General features: G+C 43.9%; 1 protein-coding gene across 2 annotated transcripts in view, besides 1 other annotated feature; it reads right to left on the reverse strand.

Moving 5' to 3' along the window:
- Positions 1-23622, reverse strand: part of SCD5 (stearoyl-CoA desaturase 5) — a 169258-nt gene that overhangs the window by 86783 nt on the left and 58853 nt on the right. The window lies entirely within an intron of this gene.
- Positions 23196-23285: a silencer, noted in NCBI's record as "silent region_15533". NCBI's record gives its function as "represses an Ori minimal core promoter by ATAC-STARR-seq in GM12878 lymphoblastoid cells {active_cell/tissue: GM12878}" and the evidence as "EXISTENCE:reporter gene assay evidence [ECO:0000049][PMID:35858748]".

Below are 23622 nucleotides of genomic sequence, written 5' to 3' on the forward strand. Positions count from 1 at the left end.
GCTGGGGTGATACCGACTTACTGTCTCTTAGTCTCAGTTCTCTTATCTGTAAACAAACAAACAAACAAAAGACTACATCAAAGTGTTGTTGGGGGACTTAAGTGAAAATACATACAGTCAGCCCTCCTTATCCATGGGTGCCACATTTGTGGATTCAACTGTGGATTCACCTGTGGATTCAACTGTGGGCTGAAAATATTTGCGGAAGAAGCCTGGGCGTGGTGGCTCATGTCTGTAATTCCAGCACTTTGGGAGGCCGAGGTGGGCGGATCACTTGAGGTCAGGAGTTCGAGACCAGCCTGGCCAACATGGTGAAACCCTGTCTCTACTAAAATTATGAAAATTAGCCAGGCATGGTGGCGTACGCCTGTAATCCCAGCTACTCAGGAGGCTGAGGCAGGAGAATCACTTGTACCTGAGAGGCAGAGGGTGCAATGAGCCGAGATCGTACCACTGCACTCCAGCCTGGGCAACAGAGCTAGACTCAGTCTCAATAAACAAAAGAAAGAAAGAAAGAAAATACTTGAGGAAGCAAAATGGATGGTTATGTCTGCACTAAATATGTACAGGCCCTTTTTTCCTGTCATTATTCCCTAAACAATATACTGTAACAACTACTTACATAGCATTTACATTGTTTTGGGTATTATAAGTAATCTAGAGATGATTTAAAATATATGGGAGGATGTGCAAAGGTTATATGCAAATACTATGCCATTTCATATAAGGGACTCAAGCATCTGTGAATTTTAGTATCCATGGAGGGTTCCTGGAACCAACCCCCTATACATACTGAAGGATCACTGTATAGGGTATTTAGCATATAACAATATTTCAATAAATATTACTGCAAACACCATTATTTTTATTACTAGGCAGACATTGCAAGGTTGAGGCTGGGTGACCAGGAAGCAGAGGCTCTAGGGAAAAGATGACCCAGATCCCAACACAGACTTTTTTTTTGAACCGGGTCCTCAGACTGCTCAGGTTCTCTGAGGTGAAATGGGGAAGAGCAAACACATTCATTGCTTCTGATTCAGGATAACTCCCATCACAACCTCTCTCTCTCCATGTTATGCAACTATCGAAATCACCATTAGGGAAAATTGAGAACAAAGTGAGTAATTTACTGTGCTATGGACCCACTGAATTTCCTTTTCATTAATTATTCAGTTTTTATTTTATCTTGGGCAGTAAGTTTGTGTGTGTTAGAGGAAGATGTGCATACATTTTATATCACTATAGGTATATGCATGCTCATTAATATCTCTGCCTATAAATAGGAAACTAATATCAAAATCGTTGGTCCTTTGGCCTGGTGCAGTGGCTCACGCCTGTAATCCCAGCACTTTCGGAGGCCAAGGCAGGCAGATCACTTGAGGTCAGGAGTTCGAGACCAGCCTGGCAAACATGGTGAAACCCCATCTCTACTAAAAATACAAAAATTAGCCAGGTGTGATGGTACATGCCTGTAATCCCAGATACTTGGGAGGGTGAAGCACGAGAATTGCTTGAACCCAGGAGGCAGAGGTTGCAGTGAGCCGAGGTGGTACCACTGCACTCCAGCCTGGGCGACAGAGTGAGATTCCCTCTCAAAAATAAAATAAAATAAAATAAAAAGTTGGTCCCTCTGAAGGAAGATAAAAATTAAAAACAGTACCAAAAGTGGTCAATTTCAGGCAAGTGAAAAAAAAAAAAGAATAATTTCTGCTGTCATCATCTGAACTGAGTAGTTATGGGTCATTATCACCTTTTTTTTTTAAAAAAAAAAAAAGCAATCTCTCTAAGGGAATAAAGACAGTTGCTGGTTGAAGTCCAGGAATCCAAGGTTTCACAGAAGAGCTGGCAGGCACCTTTGCAGCAATGAAGCATAAAGACCACAATAACCAGACCCTCAGAGGGCTGAGTGCTGTGCTCTGGAGGGACATCTTTGGGAACATTCTATGGAGAGAGGCCCTAGGCATCACTGTTGCTTTTATTTCTGAGCCAAAAGAGCTGGAAATTAAAGTGAAAAGTCCAGGAAAGCCTCTTGGGAGGAGCTGTTTCTCTCCGTCCTCATCTCTCCGTCCTGATTTCTTCATCCTCCTCTCGTCCTTTTTTCTGACTCAGACCCTCCCTCACCATGGTGATCGGTGTGAACCCAGTGGATTCTGACCAAACGTTCCTCTATCTGGCAGCCACAGGCCAAGGACAAACATGAAGAATATTTGGCAGCGAGGTGTACTTGCTGCTCCCCCCACCAAAAAGTTACAAAACACATTTTTTTCAAGGTTGTTGTTATCACAATGTTTCTGGCTTAAATAGAAAAAAAAGATGAAATTTAATAATGCAATATTCTTTCAAGATACCATGAAACCCCCTTCAGTTCTCTAGTTAGGGACTGCATCATTAAGGCAGCCTGACCTAGTTCACAAACTCCAGTTTCAAGAGGTTTCTTCACACATTTTTATTCTTGCCAAATCGCTTTAAGTTGCTGTGAATAACCCCAAGACAGACTTTTTTTTTTCTTTGCAGCATATTACAAGGCTTGGTTTTCTGACCTTCACTTGGTTCTTATGCATAAATTCCAACCTAATTTTAATGAGTTGACTTATCAAAATACAATTATTCATTCATTCCTTCTCAAGCACGTACGAGCACCTTCCACATGCCCGTTTCCTCCAGGGTGCGGAGTATCAGAGTGGGCAGCCTCCATTTCAGGGGGCTCGCTGCTAGCCGAGTTCTCAAACTGGCAGCCCCCAGGCCACAACCAACCCACAGATTTTTTAAAAAACTGATCCAACAATTAAAAATAGGGAATTTCAAATTTTAAAATCTCTTTTTCTGGCTTCTCCTGAAACATGGAAAGATCTGGCAATGTCAGGCCACCTCTCTTTCTTGCATGGCAACTTTTTCCAGGAACTACATACCCCTTCCACTGAGACAGCTCCACATGACACCCCTGTTTACCCCATACAGTAGTACATGCACTCTGAATCAACCCTCTTCATTTATTACCTGCCTGGCCTCAATCTAGGACATTACCAGGGCTAACTTACCCACTAGACACAGTAGGCACAGTGCTCACAGCCCACAATATGTTTTCTTCAAAAAGATAAAAAGAGAATATAGTAATAAGTACATAATCATGAGTCTAGCCTCGATTATAGTTGTCTTTATACCAATACAGTTGTAAAATATGATTTTCTTTTTTTTTTTTTGAGACGGAGCGTCGCTCTGTCGCCCAGGCCGGAGTGCAGTGGCGCAATCTCGGCTCACTGCAAATTCCGCCTCCCAGGTTCACGCCATTCTCCTGCCTCAGCCTCCCGAGTAGCTGGGACTACAGGGGCCCGCTACCACGCCCAGCTAATTTTTTGTATATTTAGTAGAGACGGGGCTTCACCATGTTGGCCAGGATGGTCTTGATCTCTTGACCTTGTGATCCACCCGCCTCGGCCTCCCAAAGTGCTGGGATTACAGGCATGAGCCACCGCGCCCGGCCATGATTTTCTTCTTTTTGAGACAGGGTCTCGCTCTGTCACCCAGGCTGGAGTGCAGGGGTGCAATCTCAGTTCACTGCAACTTCAGCCTCCTGGGTTTAAGCGATTCTCATGCCTCAGCCTCCTGAGTAGCTAGGATTACAGGCGCACACCACCACGCCCAGCTAATTTTTGCATTTTTAGTAGAGATGGGGTTTCACCAGGTTGGCCAGGCTGGTAGTTGTAAAATGATTTTTAATATATTTTTATGGAGAAGGGGCCTACAAAGGCAAAAGTCATAATGCAACCCTGAGTATAAATGAATTACATCATTCATGACTTGGAAAATTGGTAATTAAAAGAGAAACGGCCAGGCACAGTGGCTCATGCCTGTAATCCTAGCACTTTGGGAGGCCTAGGAGGGAGGACTGTTTGTGCCCCGGTTCAAGACCAGCTTGGGCAACATAGTGAGACACCATCTCTACAGAAAAATTTTTTTAAAAATTAGTTGGGTGTGGTGATGTACGCCTGTAGTCCCAGCTACTCGGGAAGCTGAGGTGGAAGGATCACTTGAGCCCAGGAGGTCGAGGCTGCAGTGAGTTGTAATCATGAACTCCAGCCTGGGTGACAGAGAGAGATGCTGTCTCAAAAAAGGCAAAAATAAAAAAAAAAAAAAAAAAAAAAGACAAAAGAGAAAGCAGCATTTATCCTGTCTTTTTAGAACTATAATCCATTCCTAGTTGATGAAGGAAAGATCTTCTTTTCAGAAATTAATAATTTCAGAAATTATTAATAATAAATGCAGGTTAGAGGGGGAAATCACCCTTCTGCAATCCCCAATTGTGTCTGATGCTGTTGAGCACTGCCCCAACCCTCTGTAGGTCCAGGTACTCATTCCCCAACTACTGGGATTGTTGGTGCCTAACAGCTCACAACTGAGTCTTTCCTCAGGCATTGCCCTACCTGGGAAGCTGCACAGCCCAAGGCTTGCCTCCTCCCTGGCAGCAGCCTGCATTCAATGCTTAGTAGATAAAGGGGTACAAAATTTGGCCTTTTGCCTCAATTTGGAACATCTCCAAAGGGCTGTCCGGGCCAGGCACAGTCACTCATGCCTGTAATCCCAGCACTTCAGGACGCCGAGGTGAGGGGATCTCTTGGGTCCAGGAGTTCTAGGCCAACCTGGGCAAAACGGCAAGACCCCCATCTCTACAAAGTGATTAAAAATAAAAAAGCTGGGTGTGGTGGTGGCACATGCCTGTAGTTCCAGCTACTCAGAGAGGCTGAGGTAGGAGGATCTCTTGAGCCCAGGATTTTGAGGCTCCAGTGAGCTGTGACCATGGCACTGCATTCCGGTCTAGGTGACAGAGTGAGACCCCATCTTAAAACAAAAACAAAAACAAACAAACAAACAAACAAAAAACCTCAAAGGACTGCCCCGTTTCGCAGCTCCCTGTAGCATATAGGCTGAGGCCTCTGTTGTAACTGCACTGCAATTCAGCTTCTCTCTCTGTCCAATTCTGCTTCTTATTCCCCCACAGATGTTTCTAAGCACAGTACTAGATATGCCAGCACACAAATCTGCATCTCAGAATCTGTTTCACAGAAACCTAAAGACCCCAATAAATAACAGATTCAGGCAAGAATCACAATTGTGTCCCCCCAAAATTCAAAAGTTGACGTCCTAACCCCCAGTGCCCCAGAATGTGACTTGACGTGGAGGTAGGGTGTTTACAGAGGTAATCAAGTTAAAATGAGGTCATGGGCAGGCAAGGGTTGACTAGTCCAGTGTGATTGATGTCCTCATAGGAAGAGGAAATTTAGACACAGATATACACAAAAGGAAAACAATGTGAAGAGACATAGGGAGAAGCCAACCATCTATAAGCGAAGGAGAGAGGCCTGGAACAAATCCTTCCCTCACAGCCCTCAGAGGAAGCTCCCCACACCTGCATCTTGAACTTCTAGCCTCTGGAACTGTGTGACAACACATCTCTATTGCTTAAGCCACCCCATCCGTAGTACATTGTTATAGGAGCAAACTAATACAAATGCTAAAATCATTAGATGAAAGGATTTGGGAGAAGTATCACCTCTTAAATTGCTTCCTAACTGCAAAGGGGAAAATAGAATCTTACAACGGAAGCATCTGGAAGCCACCACTTAACCAAGAGATGAAGCTTAGCATCAGTAACACTGGAACGCACCTCCACCCTTCCTGTTGCACACTGGGGACAGTGGGTGGCACTAGTGTGCACTAGCTGCAGTGACAGTGCCTTATGGAACTAAGCAGTGTTTATTTATTACTATAAAAAGAGTCAAGCTGCACCTCTGTAGAAGATTTACTTTGCAGATGGTATGGCTGTCATATTCTTTTCCAGCAGGATTTATTCTTTCATTCTTAAATCTTTTGTGAAAAATCTTAAATAATTTAACTTTCCTTTATATCCTCTTAACAGTGTCAAATATGGAGTAGAAGGAATTTTTACCCCCAAAAAGGGCTCCATCTTGATCATCTAGTTATGATCAAAAAATTTTAAGTTTGTAGCCTCCTATGTCAGCACTAGAGTGGTTGGTTGTGAATATTAAAAGCTACTACTATTTTTACTCAGTAATAAGTAATTGTTATGTTTTTGATAAGATGGTATAGTTAGAAAAAATGTGAAAGATCACTTAATCCAAAGCTACTTACAAAAAGTATTCCCAGCTGGGCATGGTAGCTCACTCCTGTAATCCCAGCACTTTGGGAGACCAAGGCAGGAGGATCACCTGAGGTCAGGGGTTCGAGACCAGCCTGGCCAACGTGGTGAAACACTAGGTGTCTACTAAAAATGCAAAAATTAGCCAGGTGTGGTGGCAGGTGCCTCTAATCCCAGCTACTGAGGAGCTGAGGCAAGAGAATCACTTGAACCCGGGAGGCGGAGGTTGCAGTGAGCCGAAATTGCACCACTGCACTCCAGCATGGGTGACAAGAGCCAAACTCCATCTCAAAAAAAAAAAAGTATTCTCGGCTGGGCTCAGTAGCTCACGCATGTAATCCCAGCACTTTGGGAGGCCGAGGCGGACAAATCACCTGAGGTCAGAAGTTCAAGACCAGCTTCGCCAACGTAGTGAAACCCCGTCTCCACTACAAATACAAAAATTACAAAAACTAGCCGGGCATAGTGGCAGGTGCCCGTAATCTCAGCTACTCAGGAGGCTGAGGCAGGAGAATCGCTTGAACCTGGGAGGCAGAGGTTGTGGTGAGCCGAGATCGCGCCATTGCACTCCAGCCCGGGTGACAAGAGCGAAACTCTGTCTCAAAAAAAAAAAAAAAAAAAAGGATTCTCTCCTGCTGGTTTACCTTCACCTCAGAACTACAGGAACATTACATAGTGAAGAGGTGTCTGTAACATTTCTACCAGTTGTTTCAATAGCATATTGGTCCTGGCAATTTTTGGCACTAGGGGCTCTCTGTTCTTTGTGATGTCTTGTTTGTGACGTTTATTTATTTTTAAAAATAACTAAGTGGAATTCTAAATGTAGATGTGGATCCGCACCAAGAAGTTCTTTTCACAAATCCCTAAATGTCTGATTTCCATTCAAGTCTTTTAAAAGACTTGTTTTTTCTTATTGGGCAGCAGAGAACTTTTATTTTCTACTTTCTTGTATACCTAAGAAGAATGAACATGCATTTCAATTGACTGTACTATATACTTTTTTGCTAAAATTTTTTCTGTAAATAAAATTACCTTGTTCAGTTTTGTCGATTACCATAAGATGCGCTGATTATTTGCTTTCTGATATGTTTGATAAGCGTGATAAAGCTTAAAAATTAAAAAACTTTAAAGTGGAACAAGCAGGCAATTGACACCTTCTGATGATGAATAGGAAGCACACAGCATCACCCTTCAGGCATTCTTGCCAAATATGCTTAACTTCAACCATGCCGGTAAGACTCACCTCGCAGTTTACAGAAAACAGAGGGAAGGTAGAAACAATCACACAAAAATGTGGGACATTCTACAGAAAACTAAAACAAAAAGTCAATGTCAAGGGTGAGGGTCTGTTCCAAAGACAATGAAAACAAATAACAATCAAATACAATGTGAAAGCCTGACTAGCTCCTAGCTCAAAACAAAAAACAATTATAAAAGATAGTCTGAGGACACATGAAATCTGAATCTGGACAAGATATTAGATTAGGTTATGATAATATCCTTATTTTTAGGGGATGTGTATGGAATCATTTAGGTGTAAATGGCCACAACATCTGCAACTTACTTTCAAATGGCTGAGAAAAAAAGTTATAGGTAAATAAAGCAAATATGGCAAATGTTAATAATTATTGAATCTAGTGGTAGATATATGGGTGTTTACTGTATTATTCTTTAAAATTCTGTATGTTTGAAAATGTACATAATAAAAGTCTGGGGAAAACAAGTGTCTTTGACAGTTGATAACAAATACCGAATTTCATCTTTCTCTTTTTAGGTCTAACATTAACACCAACCACACAAACGTTAGAACCAGAACATAGATGGCCAGCATGAGAAAGTACGGGCTAAACCTTGCTTTAGGCCAGGCATGGTGGCTCACACCTGTAATCCCAGCAATTTGGGAGGCTGAGGCAGGAGGATTGCTGGAGCCCAGGAGTTTGAGACCAGCCTGGGCAACATGGTGAGACCCCCATCTTTAGAAAAAATAAATAAATAAAACAGACCTTGCTTTGTACAGACTTTCTAATACCAAACTGATTAAACTTAAATACATGCATACCTCCTCTTCCTGCCCACAAATAAGTAGGCCCTAGAGTAAGTGGGAAAGGCAATATCAAATTAAAAGAATAATATAAAAAGATATACATGGTGGCCGTGATTAGCTCTTCCCTAATGCTTTCTGAGTCTGTTTCCTCATCTGAAAAATGGGAAGAACAAAACAAAGCTGGAAGAACTGTTTTTAGGACTAAAGATGAGAAATGTCAAGTGCTTGGTAAGTGGTAGACAGGTGATAGATACCCTGAAAACTGCTGTCGTTGTGCCTGTGAGCAGTGGGGCTTGCTAGTGGCAGCAGGAAGATACGAACCTAGACATTTAGGCCCCAGGGCCTGTCCTCCACTGCCTCTGAGAGCAAATGGAACATGGCATTTTGTTTTTCCTAATGAACATAATAAAGGTAACTATTAATAAGAAACAATTTTCACTCTCTCCCATGCAAAGAAAATGGTAGACATATGTTGATTATATTTCAAATTGCACACTTAAAGACCAACAAGGTTATCAACCTGGATGATAACCAGGAAGAATTCAGGAAGGGTTTTCTGAAGGCCAAATACAACAAAAAAGAAAAACCAAGTCAGAATAGTTCCAGAGTAAGGAGTTTTCCCATAATCTATATCCTCGGAATATTTTGTTGCTTTAATAAATAACTCCCCTGAACTTCAGAAATAAACCTTTCCAGCTGATGTGAAATCTAGATGGTGTTAGGCTTTCCTAAGGGCTAATGGGGCTCATGGGTACAGGCTCCTGATGGTGATAATCAAACTTTGAATGTGAATTCAGTTCAAGCCCAAAGAAAGCTATCACTCTGTCACCACCGTCCACGCTAACTTTCAGAGGGTAAAAGCCATACTTGAGTTTTATTTTCATTTCACTATCAACCACTCACAGTACTATACCAGCACCTTCCACTTGTCTCACCAAACAAACAAAAATGACAGCTATGGGTAGCATGAGTGTACTTTTTCTTCCATATGTTACTGTCACAGCATTAGCTCACCCATGGACATTCTAAAACGTGATTCCTTTAGAAAATAAAGCCTGGACCGGGCGTGGTGGCTCATGCCTGTAATCCTAGCACTCTGGGAAGCTGAGGTGGGCAGATCATTTGAGACCAGGAGTTCGAGGCTAGCCTGGGCAACATGATGAAACCCTACCTCTACAAAAAATACAAAAATTAGCTGGGCCTGGTGGTATGTGCCTGTAGTCCCAGCTACCCAGAAGGCTGAGGTGGGAAGATCACTTAAACCTGGGAGGCAGAGGTTGCAGTGAGCCGAGACCATGCCACTGCACTGCAGCCTGGGTGATGGGAGTGAACTCTGTTTCAAAAAAAGAAAAAAAAAGAAAAAAGAAAAGAAAGCTCTGGGAAAGATGCATTTGATTTTGGCCCAATCCCATAGGAAGCAGGATTTCAACTGACAAGGTGAGTCATGGAACCTAAGTGAGGAAAAACCGCCTGAAGGGTCTCCACTGACAGGCCTCAGAGGCCGCAGAGGCTCTGTGTCAGCCCAGTGGAGACTTCATCCTTCCAGAAGGCTCTTAAACAGAGGAACACCCAACAACTTTTTGCTCCCACCATGTTTGTTCCTAAACAATAACCTTGGGTCAGGCATGGTGGCTCACACCTGTAATCCCAGCACTTTGGGAGGCCAAAGCAGGCAGATCACCTGAGGTCAGGAGTTCGAGACAGCCTGACCAACATGGAGAAACCCCATCTCTACTAAAAATACAAAATTAGCCGGGCGTGGTGGCTCGTGCCTGTAATCCCAGCTACTCGGGAGGCTGAGGCAGGAGAATCGCTTGAACCCGGGAGATGGAGGTTGTGGTGAGCCATGATTGTGCCATTGCACTCCAGCCTGGGCAACAACAGCGAAACTCTGTCTCAAAAAAAAAAAAAAAAAACAATTACCTTGGATTTTTACAGCAAGGTTAATCGGGACTTTATCAACTGGGCAAACTTGAGTTTGCCGGACACTGAGATTAAAAGACTAGTTATTTTCACTCTGCTTGTTAAGAAAGCAGCTGTTTTTTTTTTTTTAAATAGAGACCTGCACTAAGTAATATAATACACGTTGCAATCTAGAACACACACAAATATGACTGATATACAATTTTCATAAACAATATTTAATTCTTACTAAACTCAATGCACTGACACTTTCTATTTTATTATGCTTTAAATGTTGGTCACGATCCAAACTGAAGTGTTCTACACCCCCTGTGAGGCCACAGTGTGCAGTGTGAGACGCGCTGGACTGGATAAAGCCTATGCTTCTTGGCATGCTCCCATCTCATACACAGCCCTCTTCGTCCTGTTCCTTTCCCCTGGAGCTGTCACAAAGCTGTCCTAATTGGTCAAGAAAAGGAGACACATCTCCTTTCTCCTCTACATTTTCTAAGTTCTGAAGGGCACCTGTCAATTGCTGCCCAAGCTCATCCTGCAGAGTGGGGGCTGTTCCAGCTCTAATGGAATGAAGCTTCTTTTTTAAATAATCATGACAGGATAATATAGAGGTGTGCTACAGAAAAGTCCACCCCATCTCACATCTTGAGGTTCCTGGGTTCATATCTAAGTAAGGAGAGGTTTCCCCATCAGATTCTGAATTCATTTCTCCTCCACTCAGGTTCAAATGAAACCCTAAACTTGACTTTAGGATGTAAGGGGATTCGGGTGTAACAATGATATGCAGTGGACAAGGCCTTGGTCCTGTACAACTGCACCACCTGCATTGTCTCTGGAAAAGGTCACTAAGGGATGCCATCTGCATAGAACACTATACTAAGAGTATGTATGCTCCTTAAAGGTGTGTACCCTGGTCTACCCTTGTGGAGTTAAACATATTTCAAACATTCAGAAACACACTCATCCTCACCCTCTATGAGTATACAGGTCCCACTCCTGGAGTTGTATCACCAAATCAGAGGTTATGGTCCATCCATCAGTCCCAGCCTCCGTGAAGATTCTTCCTTTTGTCTCCCAGAGACAGCTGCTGCTCCATGCTTTGGTTCTCTTTTAGTCTTTTCAGAAGCAATGGTCTTTCTCCTTGGACACCCCCATTGACAGGCAGTCAAAACTGTTCTGACTTCATAGGTAAATCCCTTACAACTGGTTTCCTTGACTCTAGGAAAGTCTAGCTTCTCTTGGTCTCCCCTTTCTGGCCTTGAGACTTTTTGTTTCATTTTTGTTTTTTGAGACAGTGTCTCACTCTGTCGCCCAGACTGGAGTGCAGTGACCGCGATCTCGGTTCACTGCAACCTCCTCCTCTTGGATTCAAGCGATTCTCATGCCTCAGCCTACCGAGTAGCTGGGATTACAGGTACGCACCATCACACCCAGCTAATTTTTGTATTATTAGTAGAGACGGGGTTTCACCATGTTGGCCAGGCTGGTCTGGAACTCCTGACCTCAAGTGATCTGCCCGCCTCGGCCCTCCCAAAGTGTTGGGATTACAGGCATGAGCCACCATGCCCCACCTCTAGTCTTGAGCCTTTTAATGAGCAAGACCAGCTCTTGTCTCCTCTGTATGTTTTTCCTGTCTTAAGTTAGTCTATAGGTTAGCCTGGGTGACAGAGTGAAACCCTGTCTCTAAAAATAATAATAATAAATAATTTAAAAATAAAAATAAAGATGTCATAAAGGAGTGAAACTGCCTTTGCAAAGTTATGACAGTAAGAGAATTCTGACATAGCTGATTCCATCTTGCTTCTGACCTCCAAGCTACCCTTGGTCATTCCTGGCTACGTGTAGGCCAAGCTAAGTTTGGGAGGAATTTAGTTTCTAGTTTTACCTTAAAGCAAAGATGATAATAGCCCTTCCCAAAACTAAATTGCCTTTGTAAAACTAGTGAAAGGTCACAAGGTTAGGATTATGAGAGGGGCCTCAATTCTGATAAGATAGGCATAGTTTCTACAATCCCTTACTGCTCAGGAGTCATGTGGCCAGAGGTCACAAGATTGCTGACTTCCCCAATTGCTCCTATAGATAACATCACTATTGTAGAACCTAAGATTGGTTTTTTGAAATATCTTTCAGACTAACCCCATTCAGACTCGCTACTCATGACTCAACTGATCCTGTGGCCCCACCCAGAGGCAGACTCAGTGCAAAAGGACCATTTTCCACTCCCCTGTGATTTCATCCTTAACCAACAGCAGCACCCATTCCCTAGCCCCCGACCACTGCTCACCAAATTGCCCATAAAAACCCTAATCTCCAAGCCTTCAGGGAGACCAATGTGAATGACAATTCTGATTCTCCCATGTGGGCTACGCTCATGTCAATTAAACTCTTTCTCTACTGCAATGCCGTTGTCTCAGTGGATTGATTTTGTCTGTGCAGTGGGCAGGAAGAACCCACCAGCCAATTATAGGAGAATGAAGGGCTACAGGCTGTGGTGACTTTGTCTCTCTGAAGGAGTCTGGAGGGCTGCAAAGAAGATGTGATTTCTGACCTCGATTTTTAAAAAGGAATGGGAATTTTCCAGGCAGAGGAGAGGGAGAAAGGTATAGAAGTGTTTGGAGAAAGAACAGAAGTTCTGTGTGTGGCCAACCTCACCAATCCACCTCACAAGTTGAAGAAGTCTTCTTTGAGCCTCCAAAAGCTGAAATGGCAACACCAAAATTAAAGACTCCAAGTCACCAAGAGGCATTCCAAGGGTTTGTGGTAAACTACAAAGTCCGTGAAGACAAGTAGGTTGCTGAGAAGGCAGACGATTCATTTTGGGATGGAAGGGTCGGGAAGGGTTTCCCCAGAAGGAAGGAGGGGCTGTACCTATGGTGGTGAGGAGGGCCAAGGACTTCTGGAGGAGGAGGGAGGCTGGCCTGGAGCTAGAGGTTGGGCTGGTGAGGATTATAGTCAGCGATGCTTTCTTGTGTTTACACCTTGACTGATAAGCTCAACTATAAGCTTCCTGAGAGCAGCACTCAGCTCTGGATTTCACCCTCCCCCCGGCATCTCCCAGCACACAGCTCTGCATCCCATAGGTCTAACCAAATACAAGTTTGTCAGTGGAATAGTAAATATTTTTTGAATTGACGGAAGGGGGGAAAGAGATATGTTTAAGAGAAAGAATTTTAAACATATCTTCTTGAACATGAAGGGAGCAGAACATGCTACTCCAAAATATGCCTTTTTAGGATAAAGATTATTTTGAGCTGAAGGCAATTACACAGCAGCAGATACAAAAGAGCTCTCTGCCCTCCCCCTATTTACCTAAAAGCAGAACATAAATCTGTAAATGTGTCTCTCCTCCCCTCTCTACCAGGAAGGACAGAAGTGAATCACCAGAGATAACTCTAGACCCTTACCAGCCCGGAGAGGGCACCAGAGGAGTCTATACAACCAACCTTCCCAATTAGCACTTATCTTCCATTAGCTCCCCCACTATTTACCTTCCCACAACTTGCTGCCTTAGAAACTCAAAGTCCTTTTCCTTTGTCTTTGTCATCTCTCTAAAACTTTACTATTCTTTTAAGATGCTATATAAGCCAAGGTGTAACCATCCCTTTGAGTTACTCATCTCTGAGTGCCCCCATGTGTATTTGTGATGTGCATGTTAATAAACTTGTTTATGTTTCTCTTGCTAATCTGTCTTTTGTCAATCTAATTTACAGGACCCCAGCTGAGGAACCTAGGAGAATAAGGGGGAAAATATATGTATTATATATTTTTATATAATACATATATTATATTATATATAATATTTAAAAACATATAATATATTATACATTTATATATATAGTTATATATACTATATATAAATGTATAATATATATATTTTTTGAGGCAGAGTCTCGCTCTGTCACCCAGCTGGAGTCCAGTGGCACGATCTTGGCTCCCTGCAACCTCCGCTTCCCGGGTTCAAGCAATTCTCCTGCCTCAGCCTCCCAGGTAGCTGGGATTACAGGCGCATGCCACTATGCCTGGCTAATTTTTTGTATTTTTAGTAGAAACGGGGTTTCACCGTGTTAGCCAAGATGGTCTTGATCTCCTGACATCATGATCCGCCCACCTTGGCCTCCCAAAGGAAAATATATGTATTTTTTTCCCTTCTTTTTTTTTTTTTTTTTTTAGAAGGAGTCTCACTCTGTTGCCCAGGCTGGAGTGCAGTGGCGGGATCTTGGCTCACTGCATGCTCTGCCTCCCGGGTTCACACCATTCTCCTGCCTCAGCCTCCCGAGTAGCTGGGACTACAGGCACCCACCACCACGCCCGGCTAATTTTTTGTATTTTAGTAGAGACGGGGTTTCACCATGTTAGCCAAGATGGTCTCGGTCTCCTGACCTCGTAATCCGCTTGCCTCGGCCTCCCAAAGTGCTGGGATTACAGGCGTGAGCCACAGCGCCCAGCTGTATTTTTTCGTCTTCTATAAACACAAAGAGCTCACTCTCTTGAACGACTGCTTCTTCCAGGGAAGTCTCCAATCAAGAGCTGACAGTCTCAAAACAAGTCGAAACTTCCTGCTTGGGGTACACAGGAAACCCCCAGACCCATCAACAACCATTCGGAAATGTACCACCCCATTATGATATTTTAGTTTTTTTCAATTCCTTTTTTCATTTCCAATCTGGGACTGACATACAAAGGAACAACAAAGTGTCATTCTTGAGAACGGAAAGCTGGGGGTAGGGGCAGAGAGGATACAGCAGAACTCTCCCTGGTGACTTCTCCTGGTAGCCAGCTGGTTGTAGCTGGAAGCAGCAATTATTTTGCTTTTGTCAGGAATCCAAGGTACGGAACACAGCTGCTGGGTCAAGGCCTGGCACAGATCCAGCCTGGCTAGGACAGCCTTGGGGAGCCCATCGGGCCTGTGAACACAGAGCAGACCACTTGAAGAGAGCACTGGCTTCCTCTCCTCTCTCCCTACTCCAAGGGTAACTTTCTCTGCAGCCTTCCTGCCTCGGGGCAATGAGACTTGCTGTGAGCCACTCCAGGACCAGACTTGGGCTGGGAGACCCCGGGGAAACAGCCACCATCATAGTTGCAGCAAGTAAGAGCATAAACCAGATCCAGGGTGCAAAATGCCCTGGGCTGGAATTCACATCCCAGTTCTGCTCTTGCAGCCTAAAAGAAGCAGAACCCTTATTTCGCAGAGTATCTGCATCCCACACAGAGCTTGCCCAGGTGCTCAGAGGCAGCGCAGTTCTTATGAGGATGGATTCTAGAGTTTAGGGCCCTGGATGGGAAGTCCCATCACACCCCACCCACTGAGGCAGCAAGTGAGCTGCAGAGAATTCAGACCTCTGAAGTCAGCAGTCACACAAATACTGAACCCCAGACCTGCTCCCCATTCCCTTCCGTCCCCAGAGGTAGTAAAGTGACTGGAACTCCTACTTTTCTCTCATTTATACACTATTACCTTTTACTTTGTGAAAGGCAAGCTGTCATCTGTCTGATTAAGATCAGGGTGCCTGCTGCCTTTGCTTCTTACAACCTCACAATTCCAACCATGAATGTGACAATTAGGGCCCCTTTCTCTCTTCTCCCCACTTTCCTCCATTACCTCCATCTTTGCTCAAAGGTCATTATCTTTCAGGGAGGAAGATTCTTTTCTCTACTTTTCTATTACATTTTTTTTTCTTTTTTGAGACGGAGTCTTGCTCTGTCACCCAGGCTGGAGTGCAGTGGTGTGATCTCAGCTCACTGCAACCTCTGCCTCCCGAGTTCAAGCGATTCTCCTGCCTCAGCCTCCCGAGTAGCTCAGACTACAGCTACTCGTCTGGCTAATTTTTGTATGTTTTTAGACAGGGTTTCACCAAGTAGGCCAAACCTGTCTCGAACTCCCGACCTCAAGTGATCCGCCTACCTTGGCCTCCCAAAGTGCTTGGATTACAGGCACGAGCCACCACGCCTGGCCTCCTATTACTTTCAAAATCATCTGCTGTCTTTATTCATGGATGCACTCACTCAGGTGTGTTTCTGTGCATACTACGCATTCAACACTTGCTAACTTCTGTCTTTTCACTTGCTTGCATCTCCCTCTCGTGGAAACAGGCCTACCCATCACATCAGATCCTGCTGAAAGCAGGCGTCCTGTCCAAGGTTGGTTACCACCTTGTGCCTTGAGTTGCTGGGGACAGGCTCCGGCTACCTCCCACCCTGAGGTAGAATAAGCGGGTTGGGTAATAAATGAATACAAATTACAGTATTCATTGAAAGGAGTCAATGAGAGGTTCTGGGGAAGCTCCTTTCACTGGTTATTGATAGCCATGCAAGCTGGCCACTCTGGGTACTAAAGACAGAAAGTGAAAATAACCCAGGGACAGAGCTCAGGGAAAGAAACGGAATGTGGGGTGCTAAGAAAGGAAGAACTTCCAGATCCTCCACCTCAGTGGTTCTCAAAGTGTGATTCCCAGGCAGGAAGCATTGGCACCACCTGGAACTTGCTAGAAATGTTATTTTTGTCACTACCAGTCTAGTAGAAAGAGGAGGTGGAGTGGTTCCCAAATTAATGATGATGCTGATGATAATGGCTAACATTCATGGACCAGCCACTGTCCTAGGGACTTTATTAACACAGTTAATCATCACAACAACCCTATGAGGGGTTAAGCGCTATTCATATTCCTGGAATTTTATGAACTAGGGAACTGAGAAGCAAAGAGGTTAAGTAACTGGGCGTACTCACAGAGTAAATGACAGGACGACAGGAAAACAGGTCAGGCTCTCCACGCACACGCCCCACACACCACCAGCATGCACTCCCACACCTCACTCTTCACTCTAGCTTTGGTCTCTTTCACATCAGCCCCCTCCCCAGAGCACAGGCAAGCTAGCTCTGGTGCCCTGTTACGATGCACAGAGCACAGTGGCCCACAGCCTGCACTCTGGGCCAACTGCTTGGGTGTGAAGCTTGCTTCTCCCATGTAGTGAGCTTGGAGAAGTTACCCTCTCTGCCTATTTCATTGGCTGTAAAATGAGGATAATAGCTGTGCCCACCTACCTCATAGGGTGGTTGTGAAGATTAAATAGGTTAATATGCATAAGTGTGCCTGATACACATCATGTCCCCAATAAATATTACCTTATTATCTTGAAGCCTTCTAATGTGTGGAGGGGGAAAAAGAAAAATATGGGAAAGAGAAGAGAGGGAAGAAAGAATTTGGAAACAAGAGCCTGAGAATTCCGTAACAATTTCTCCAGTAAAAATTCACAAGGGTCCCTGCGCCATTCTCGCCTCTGCTAGGGAAGCACATGCTCATGAAGCCTCTGTACGTGCCTGAATGGGGCCATGGGAATCTCCCCACTCTGGGTCTCGGGAACATGGTTGATGAAAGCAGATGGTGGTGACTCAGGCCCACCACCCTCTGACTCAGAACTGCCCGATGTAAGCAGAAATCTATGTCAAAGTACAGAGACTCAGGTGTCCTTGCTGCTGCAAAGAGGCAAATCAGGGTGAGACCTACAAGATTTAGTGCCCTGCTTACACAGGTGCAAGGACAAAAAGAAAAATGGCCACTATTACATACAATGAAGGCTGTGTCTAAAGCCTTAAGAACGTCTAGCTACTTGGAGGAAATGTGAGACTATATTTTATTAAGATTACTGTTGCTGTTAGAGGTAGATAACACAGCAAAAATAACCATCAGAGAATGCCAAGCTTATGGGGCAAGAAGGATCAGACCAGAAGAAGGAAGCCGAAGGATGCAGAAATGTGGCACTGGCTTGATGAAGGAGGCAAATGCTTACTAGTGGAAAGGAGTCAATGCTTTCCCTCTTTCCTGTATCCCATACTGGCCTCCCTCACTTCCAAAGAAACCCAAACCAAACAAAACAATCCCAGCATCAGATCCAAGTAGGTAAAGCTCTGTCATCGGATGAGCCAACCAGACAGTTAACCCAACATGACTTTCTCCGACATCCACTCAAAGCTCTTGGTAATCACACTTTTCCTCTACGTATAATCGAGGAAATTTGTGCAGCTCCGAGATGCAGTTTTTGTGCTATTCTAGCTTGTGTTTCAGATCTGCACAGCTGTGAGAAACCACATAAAGGAGATGTAAGGGTTTACCTTTTTTCTGTCCTTGATGTTTAACAATATATATTGCAGTCTTTAAAATTGTGCTTTTAACCAATTTTGTAATGAGAGATAAATACAAAACATCAAAGCAACAGAAAAATCAAATTAACTTCTCATCCTGCCATGTAACAAATTATCTCTTTTTAGCTGTATTGTTGCTTGGGCTTTTTTTTTAAAACAAGCCTATAGTCAATATTTATAAAGTTGAGCTCAATTTTTTTTTTTTTTTTGAGACAGGGTCTCACTTTATTGCCCAGGCTGGAGTGCAGTGGCACGTTCTCGGCTCACTGCAACCTCTGCCTCCCGGGCTCAAGCAATTCTTGTGCCTCAGCCTCCCAGAGTGCTGGGATTACAGGTGTGTGCCACCATGCCCAGCTAATTTTTTGTACTTTTTTTAGTAGAGATGGGGTTTCATCATGTTGCCCAGGCTGGTCTCGAACTCCTGAGCTCAGGCAATCTGCCCACCTCAGCCTCCCAAAGTGCTGGGATTACAGGTGTGAGCCACCACGCCCAGCCTGAGCTCAACAATTTTTCATTTAGCATTATAGCAGGTCCTCAAAAAAGTGTCATTTTGATCAACATGGTTTTGTTACAATGTTGATGAGATTTTTGAAAATTGATTCCCAGCCGAGGCCACTGTCTGTGCGGTTTGCAAGTTCTCCCCATGTCTGTATGGGTTTTCTCTGGGTACTCTGGTTTCCTCCCACATCCCAAAGATGTGTGTTGTACATTAGGTTGATTGGCGTGTCTACACGGTCCAGATCTGAATGACTGTGTGTGTGTGAATGTGTGGGCCCTATGGTGGGATGGTGTCCTGTCCAAGGTTGGGTACCACCTTGTGCCTTGAGTTGCTGGGGATAGGCTCTGGCTACCTCCCACCCTGAAGTGCAATAAGCGGGTTGGGTAATAAATGGATACAAATTACAGTAAAATAAAAATTTGTAAAGTAGTGAATAATCCTACAGATACACGACAATAAACGACGCAGTGCGAAAGCGCTCAAGGAGCCGCCACATTCGTTACTGCTCGTTTTTCAACTGCATGGTGGAAGGGGGGGCTCCTGACAATTTTCTCATTGCAAACACTTATTCCTTGACTTACCCACCACATGACTGCTGTCACTCACCGATTCACCAAAGACTGGGTAAAAAATTATCTTACTTGTTTTTATTACCGAAATGCATGTATAGCTCACAGTTATTTCCATTTTTAATAGAAGTGTTTTGGGTCTTAATCTAGAAATGTGGTGATGTTTCCTTGACTAGAAATATGTCGTAGGAATTTAGTTCTGTATTCATATCAATTAGCCCGTGGTTAAACTGGTTTCATTATCCATCGTTTCACTTAAAGTCACAGTTTCCAAGAACTTGTCAATGATGTTAAGTGAGGACTTACTGTATTTTATATCAGCCTTTCTATTTGTTTTTATAACACACAAATTTATTATTCTTGGCCACGCACAGTGGCTCAGGCCTGCAATTCCAGCACTTTAGGAGACCAAGGTGGGCAGATCACTTGATCCCAGGAGTTCGAGACCAGCCTGGGCAACATAGCGAAACACCATCTCTACAAAAAGTATTAAAAAATTAGCAGGGTGTGGTGGCATGTGCCTGTAGTCCCAGCTACTCTGGAGGCTGAGGTGGGACGATCACTTGAGCCCAGGAGGCAGGAGTTGCAGTGAGACAAGATTGTGTCACTGCATCCAGCCTGGGTGACAGAGCAAGACCCTGTCTAAGAAAAAACAAAACAAAACAAAAAAAAAACCATTATTCTCAGCCAGGCGCAGTGGCTCACATCTGTAATCCCAGCACTTTGAGAGGCTGAGGCAGGTGGATCAGCCGAGGTCAGGAGTTCGAGACCAGCCTGGCCAACATGGTGAAACCTGTCTCTACTAAAAATACAAAAATTAGCCAGGCGTGGTGGCAGCTGCCTGTAATCCCAGCTACTCAGGAGGCTGAGGCAGGAGAATCACTTGAACCCAGGAGGCAGAGGTTGCAGTGAGCCCAGATCGCGCCATTGCACTCCAGTCTGGGGGACAAGAGTGAGACTTTGCCTCAAAAAAAAAAAATCATTCTTAATAGTAATATTATATTTCATTTTACAACATACTTTTGGGGTTTCTTTTTTTCTGAGACAGGGTCTTGCTCTGTTGCCCAGGCTGGAGTGCAGTGATGCCCTCAACTCACTGTGGCCTCGACCTTCTGGGCTCAAGAGATCTTCCCACCTTAACCTCCTGAGTAGCTGGAACTACAGATGCATGCCACCATGCCCAGCTAATTTTTTAAAAAAATTTTGTAGACACGGGGTCTTGCCATGTTGCCCAGGCTAGTCTCGAACTCTTGGGCTCAAGTGATCCTCCCACCTCAGCCTTTCAAAGTGTTGGGATTACAGGTGTAAGCCACCGTGCCAGACCATAGTTTGTTTTTAATTTTTTAAAATAATTTTTAGGGTTTTTTTTCCTATTTTTCTTTCTTTGTTTCTCCAGGATGTAGTCTCAAACATATACTAGCTCAAAGGATATGATGTTCCATGGTTTACTACACTTCGCCATGTTGCTTTCCAGAAATATTGTACTAATTTATGTTTGTATGAGGGTATAACTTTCTCAAAAGCCTTGCCAGACTTTGATTTTGTAATTATAATTTGCCAGTTTAACGGCATTGCATGGTTTTGTGTTTTAACTTCTTATAATTACTAAGGAGGCTGAGTCCTCTTCCAAGGATTTGTTTTCTAGTTGTAATGCCTCTTGTGTGAACATGTTCAGATTTTTTTTTGACTGTTAATGCAGTAGAAATAGTATTGCACTTGTGGATTTAATTCCATTCTCTAGATATTCTGGATGTTAATTTTTTTCATTCATTCTATTTATCACAATTTTCCCTCTAAGTCACTTTGACTAAAGAAAGTTTTGCTCAATGGATGCAGCTCCCACTCAGGCAGATCATCAATTCAGCCAAGGTTCCTGCTGCCCCATTTTCTGGTGGCTGCACACTGTAATCCCCTCATAAATTTTCCTGAAGACAGCCTGATTTTTAAGTTCCCCAGCTCCCTAATGAACTGTATCCCAATTTGTCAAATATACCCAGCAATTATTCAATGTTATATCATGTGCTACTGGAAAAAAATCAGGGATACTATTTTCATGCTTGCCTTTCTGGCCATCTCTGATTTATATTGTGCCTTTCTATTAAGGCAGAGTTTCATGTCGTGATCTGAAAGCATTTTACAACCACTGGATCAAACTCTGAAAAGAGAAGAAACCAAAGTCAAGTTGCTATCAATGGCACAATGAGGTAGGAAGGCTGGGGGGCAAAAAAGGTCATGGATAAGATTAAAGAAATCTAAACAAAACTTAAGTATTTGAAACACTTTACAGATTGGACCTGAGGTCAATCTAATTAGCTAAAAAAAAAAAAATCCACTATCTAGAACTATATCTACTTTTTGCACGCATCACCCAAATTGTAAAACAACAACAAAAAATAAGAGCTGTACAAAATACTTAATAAATGTATTCTGTAAGCATCACACAAAATACTTGATAAAAAAAGAACCAAAAGATTTCTACCTGAAAAAAAGTTATCACGGCCGGGCCCAGTGGCTCATGCCTGTAGTCCCAGCACTTTGGGAGGCCTAGGCGGGCGGATCACGAGGTCAAGAGACGGAGACTGACCATCCTGGCCAACATGGTGAAACCCTGTCGCTACTAAAAATACAAAATTAGCTGGGTGTGGTGGCGTGCGTCTGTGGTCCCAGCTACTCGGGAGACTGAGGCAGGAAAATCGCTTGAACCCAGGAGGCAGACGTTGCAGTGAGCCGAGATCGTGCCACTGCACTCCAGCCTGGCAACAGAGTGAGACTCCGTTTAAAAAAAAAGTTATCACTGTCTGTTTCATGGCTTTTGATTATTTATTTTTTTGCCTATAAGAAAGATCCCCAGTTGGGGAAGAACACATCCCAGCACACTTCCTCTCTTTCTCAATTCTTTCTTACTTGCCAGCTTAGACTAAAAGCCACTCACCCATTCCTTCCACCCTTCCATACCTACTCTTCACTCCTTCACCTTAGCCAACTCCTGGCCACAACTATGGTCTCTGGAGAGGATCCTGGTAGACCATAGAGAAGCTACACCCAACAGCTACATATCCAACTGGTGAGAGGGAACATTTCTCCACTGTAGTAGATACAACTACATAGCAGTTCCAAGTTATAGATGCCAAATGGCTCCCATTATTATTACAGTTGGCACTTGTTGAGTACTTAGGATACGCTGTGACCCTAAAAAGCACTGCCTATGTCTTATCTCATTTAATCTTCACCAACCCCATTTTACAGATGAGGCAAAATGGAGTTTAGAAATTTGGCCAAGATCACCCAGCTAGTAATAACAGAGGTGGGGACTGACACTACAACATATGGCCTCTCAGAGGATGGGCAAATGTTTTGATGATTTGTAGCAAACTGTAATTTTTTCCCCAAGTGTGCTATTTTTAAATATAATCACTAAAAAATAATAATCTTACCCCTACTAGTTGCGGGTTGACTGTGACTTTGGGGCCAAATGCAAAAAGCCTCAATCTGCGATTTCCCAGGCAAATAGCACTAAGTACCTGTTCTTGTCCTTGCTGATTCTTCTACATGCAAATCATTTCCCTCTCAACACTGGTAAGACATTTGTAGTCATGCCAGGGGAAGGCAGTGGGGATGTGAAAGGTGGAGGTCCTGGCCTGGAAGTGGAGAGGGCTCTATTTTAGCTCCATTTCCACCACAAACTCAACTCTCGGGATCATGGGTTCCTCACGAGCGAATGGAAACCAGTGGATGATACGGTTTCTAACATCCCCTCCAGCTTTAAATTTCCAGCAATTTATGAAGCCTGGTAATGCCCACGTACTGGTGCCAGCAGTGTGGGTGCAGCACCCCCTGCCGGTGGCCTCCCCGCACTGCCCTGGAGGGAGGTCGTGGCTGGTAGAGCCACACTCCGCCTGCTGGTTGTGTGCGGTGGTGGCCCAGGCCAGGGCACAGGCATTCACGCACACAAAACTCACCCCAACGATGCTCTGAAGTATCTATTGCCATGTGTGTGCTGAAAGAAATGCACTATGATTCAGATCGGCCAAGGCTTGGAAGAGGACAAGAGGATTACAGGGTAATTTAGGAAGCACGTAGAGTTAGACGCAGCTGGACAGGCTTCTGCTTAGCCATGCTGATCGTGAAAAGCCACGATGAAAACTTGATAATTTTTTTAGCACAGCATATTCTCTTAAAGAGAGGCATATATCTGTTCTCTGAAAGTAGAAAATAAATTCTTCCATGGACTTGATGTGTTTAAAATCTAAGGCGAGTGCAGGTCCCGACCCCTCTCCATCCCCACCGCTTGCTTATCTGCTT

Source organism: Homo sapiens, chromosome 4, assembly GCF_000001405.40.
Source record: "Homo sapiens chromosome 4, GRCh38.p14 Primary Assembly".
NCBI classification, from domain to species: domain Eukaryota; kingdom Metazoa; phylum Chordata; class Mammalia; order Primates; family Hominidae; genus Homo; species Homo sapiens.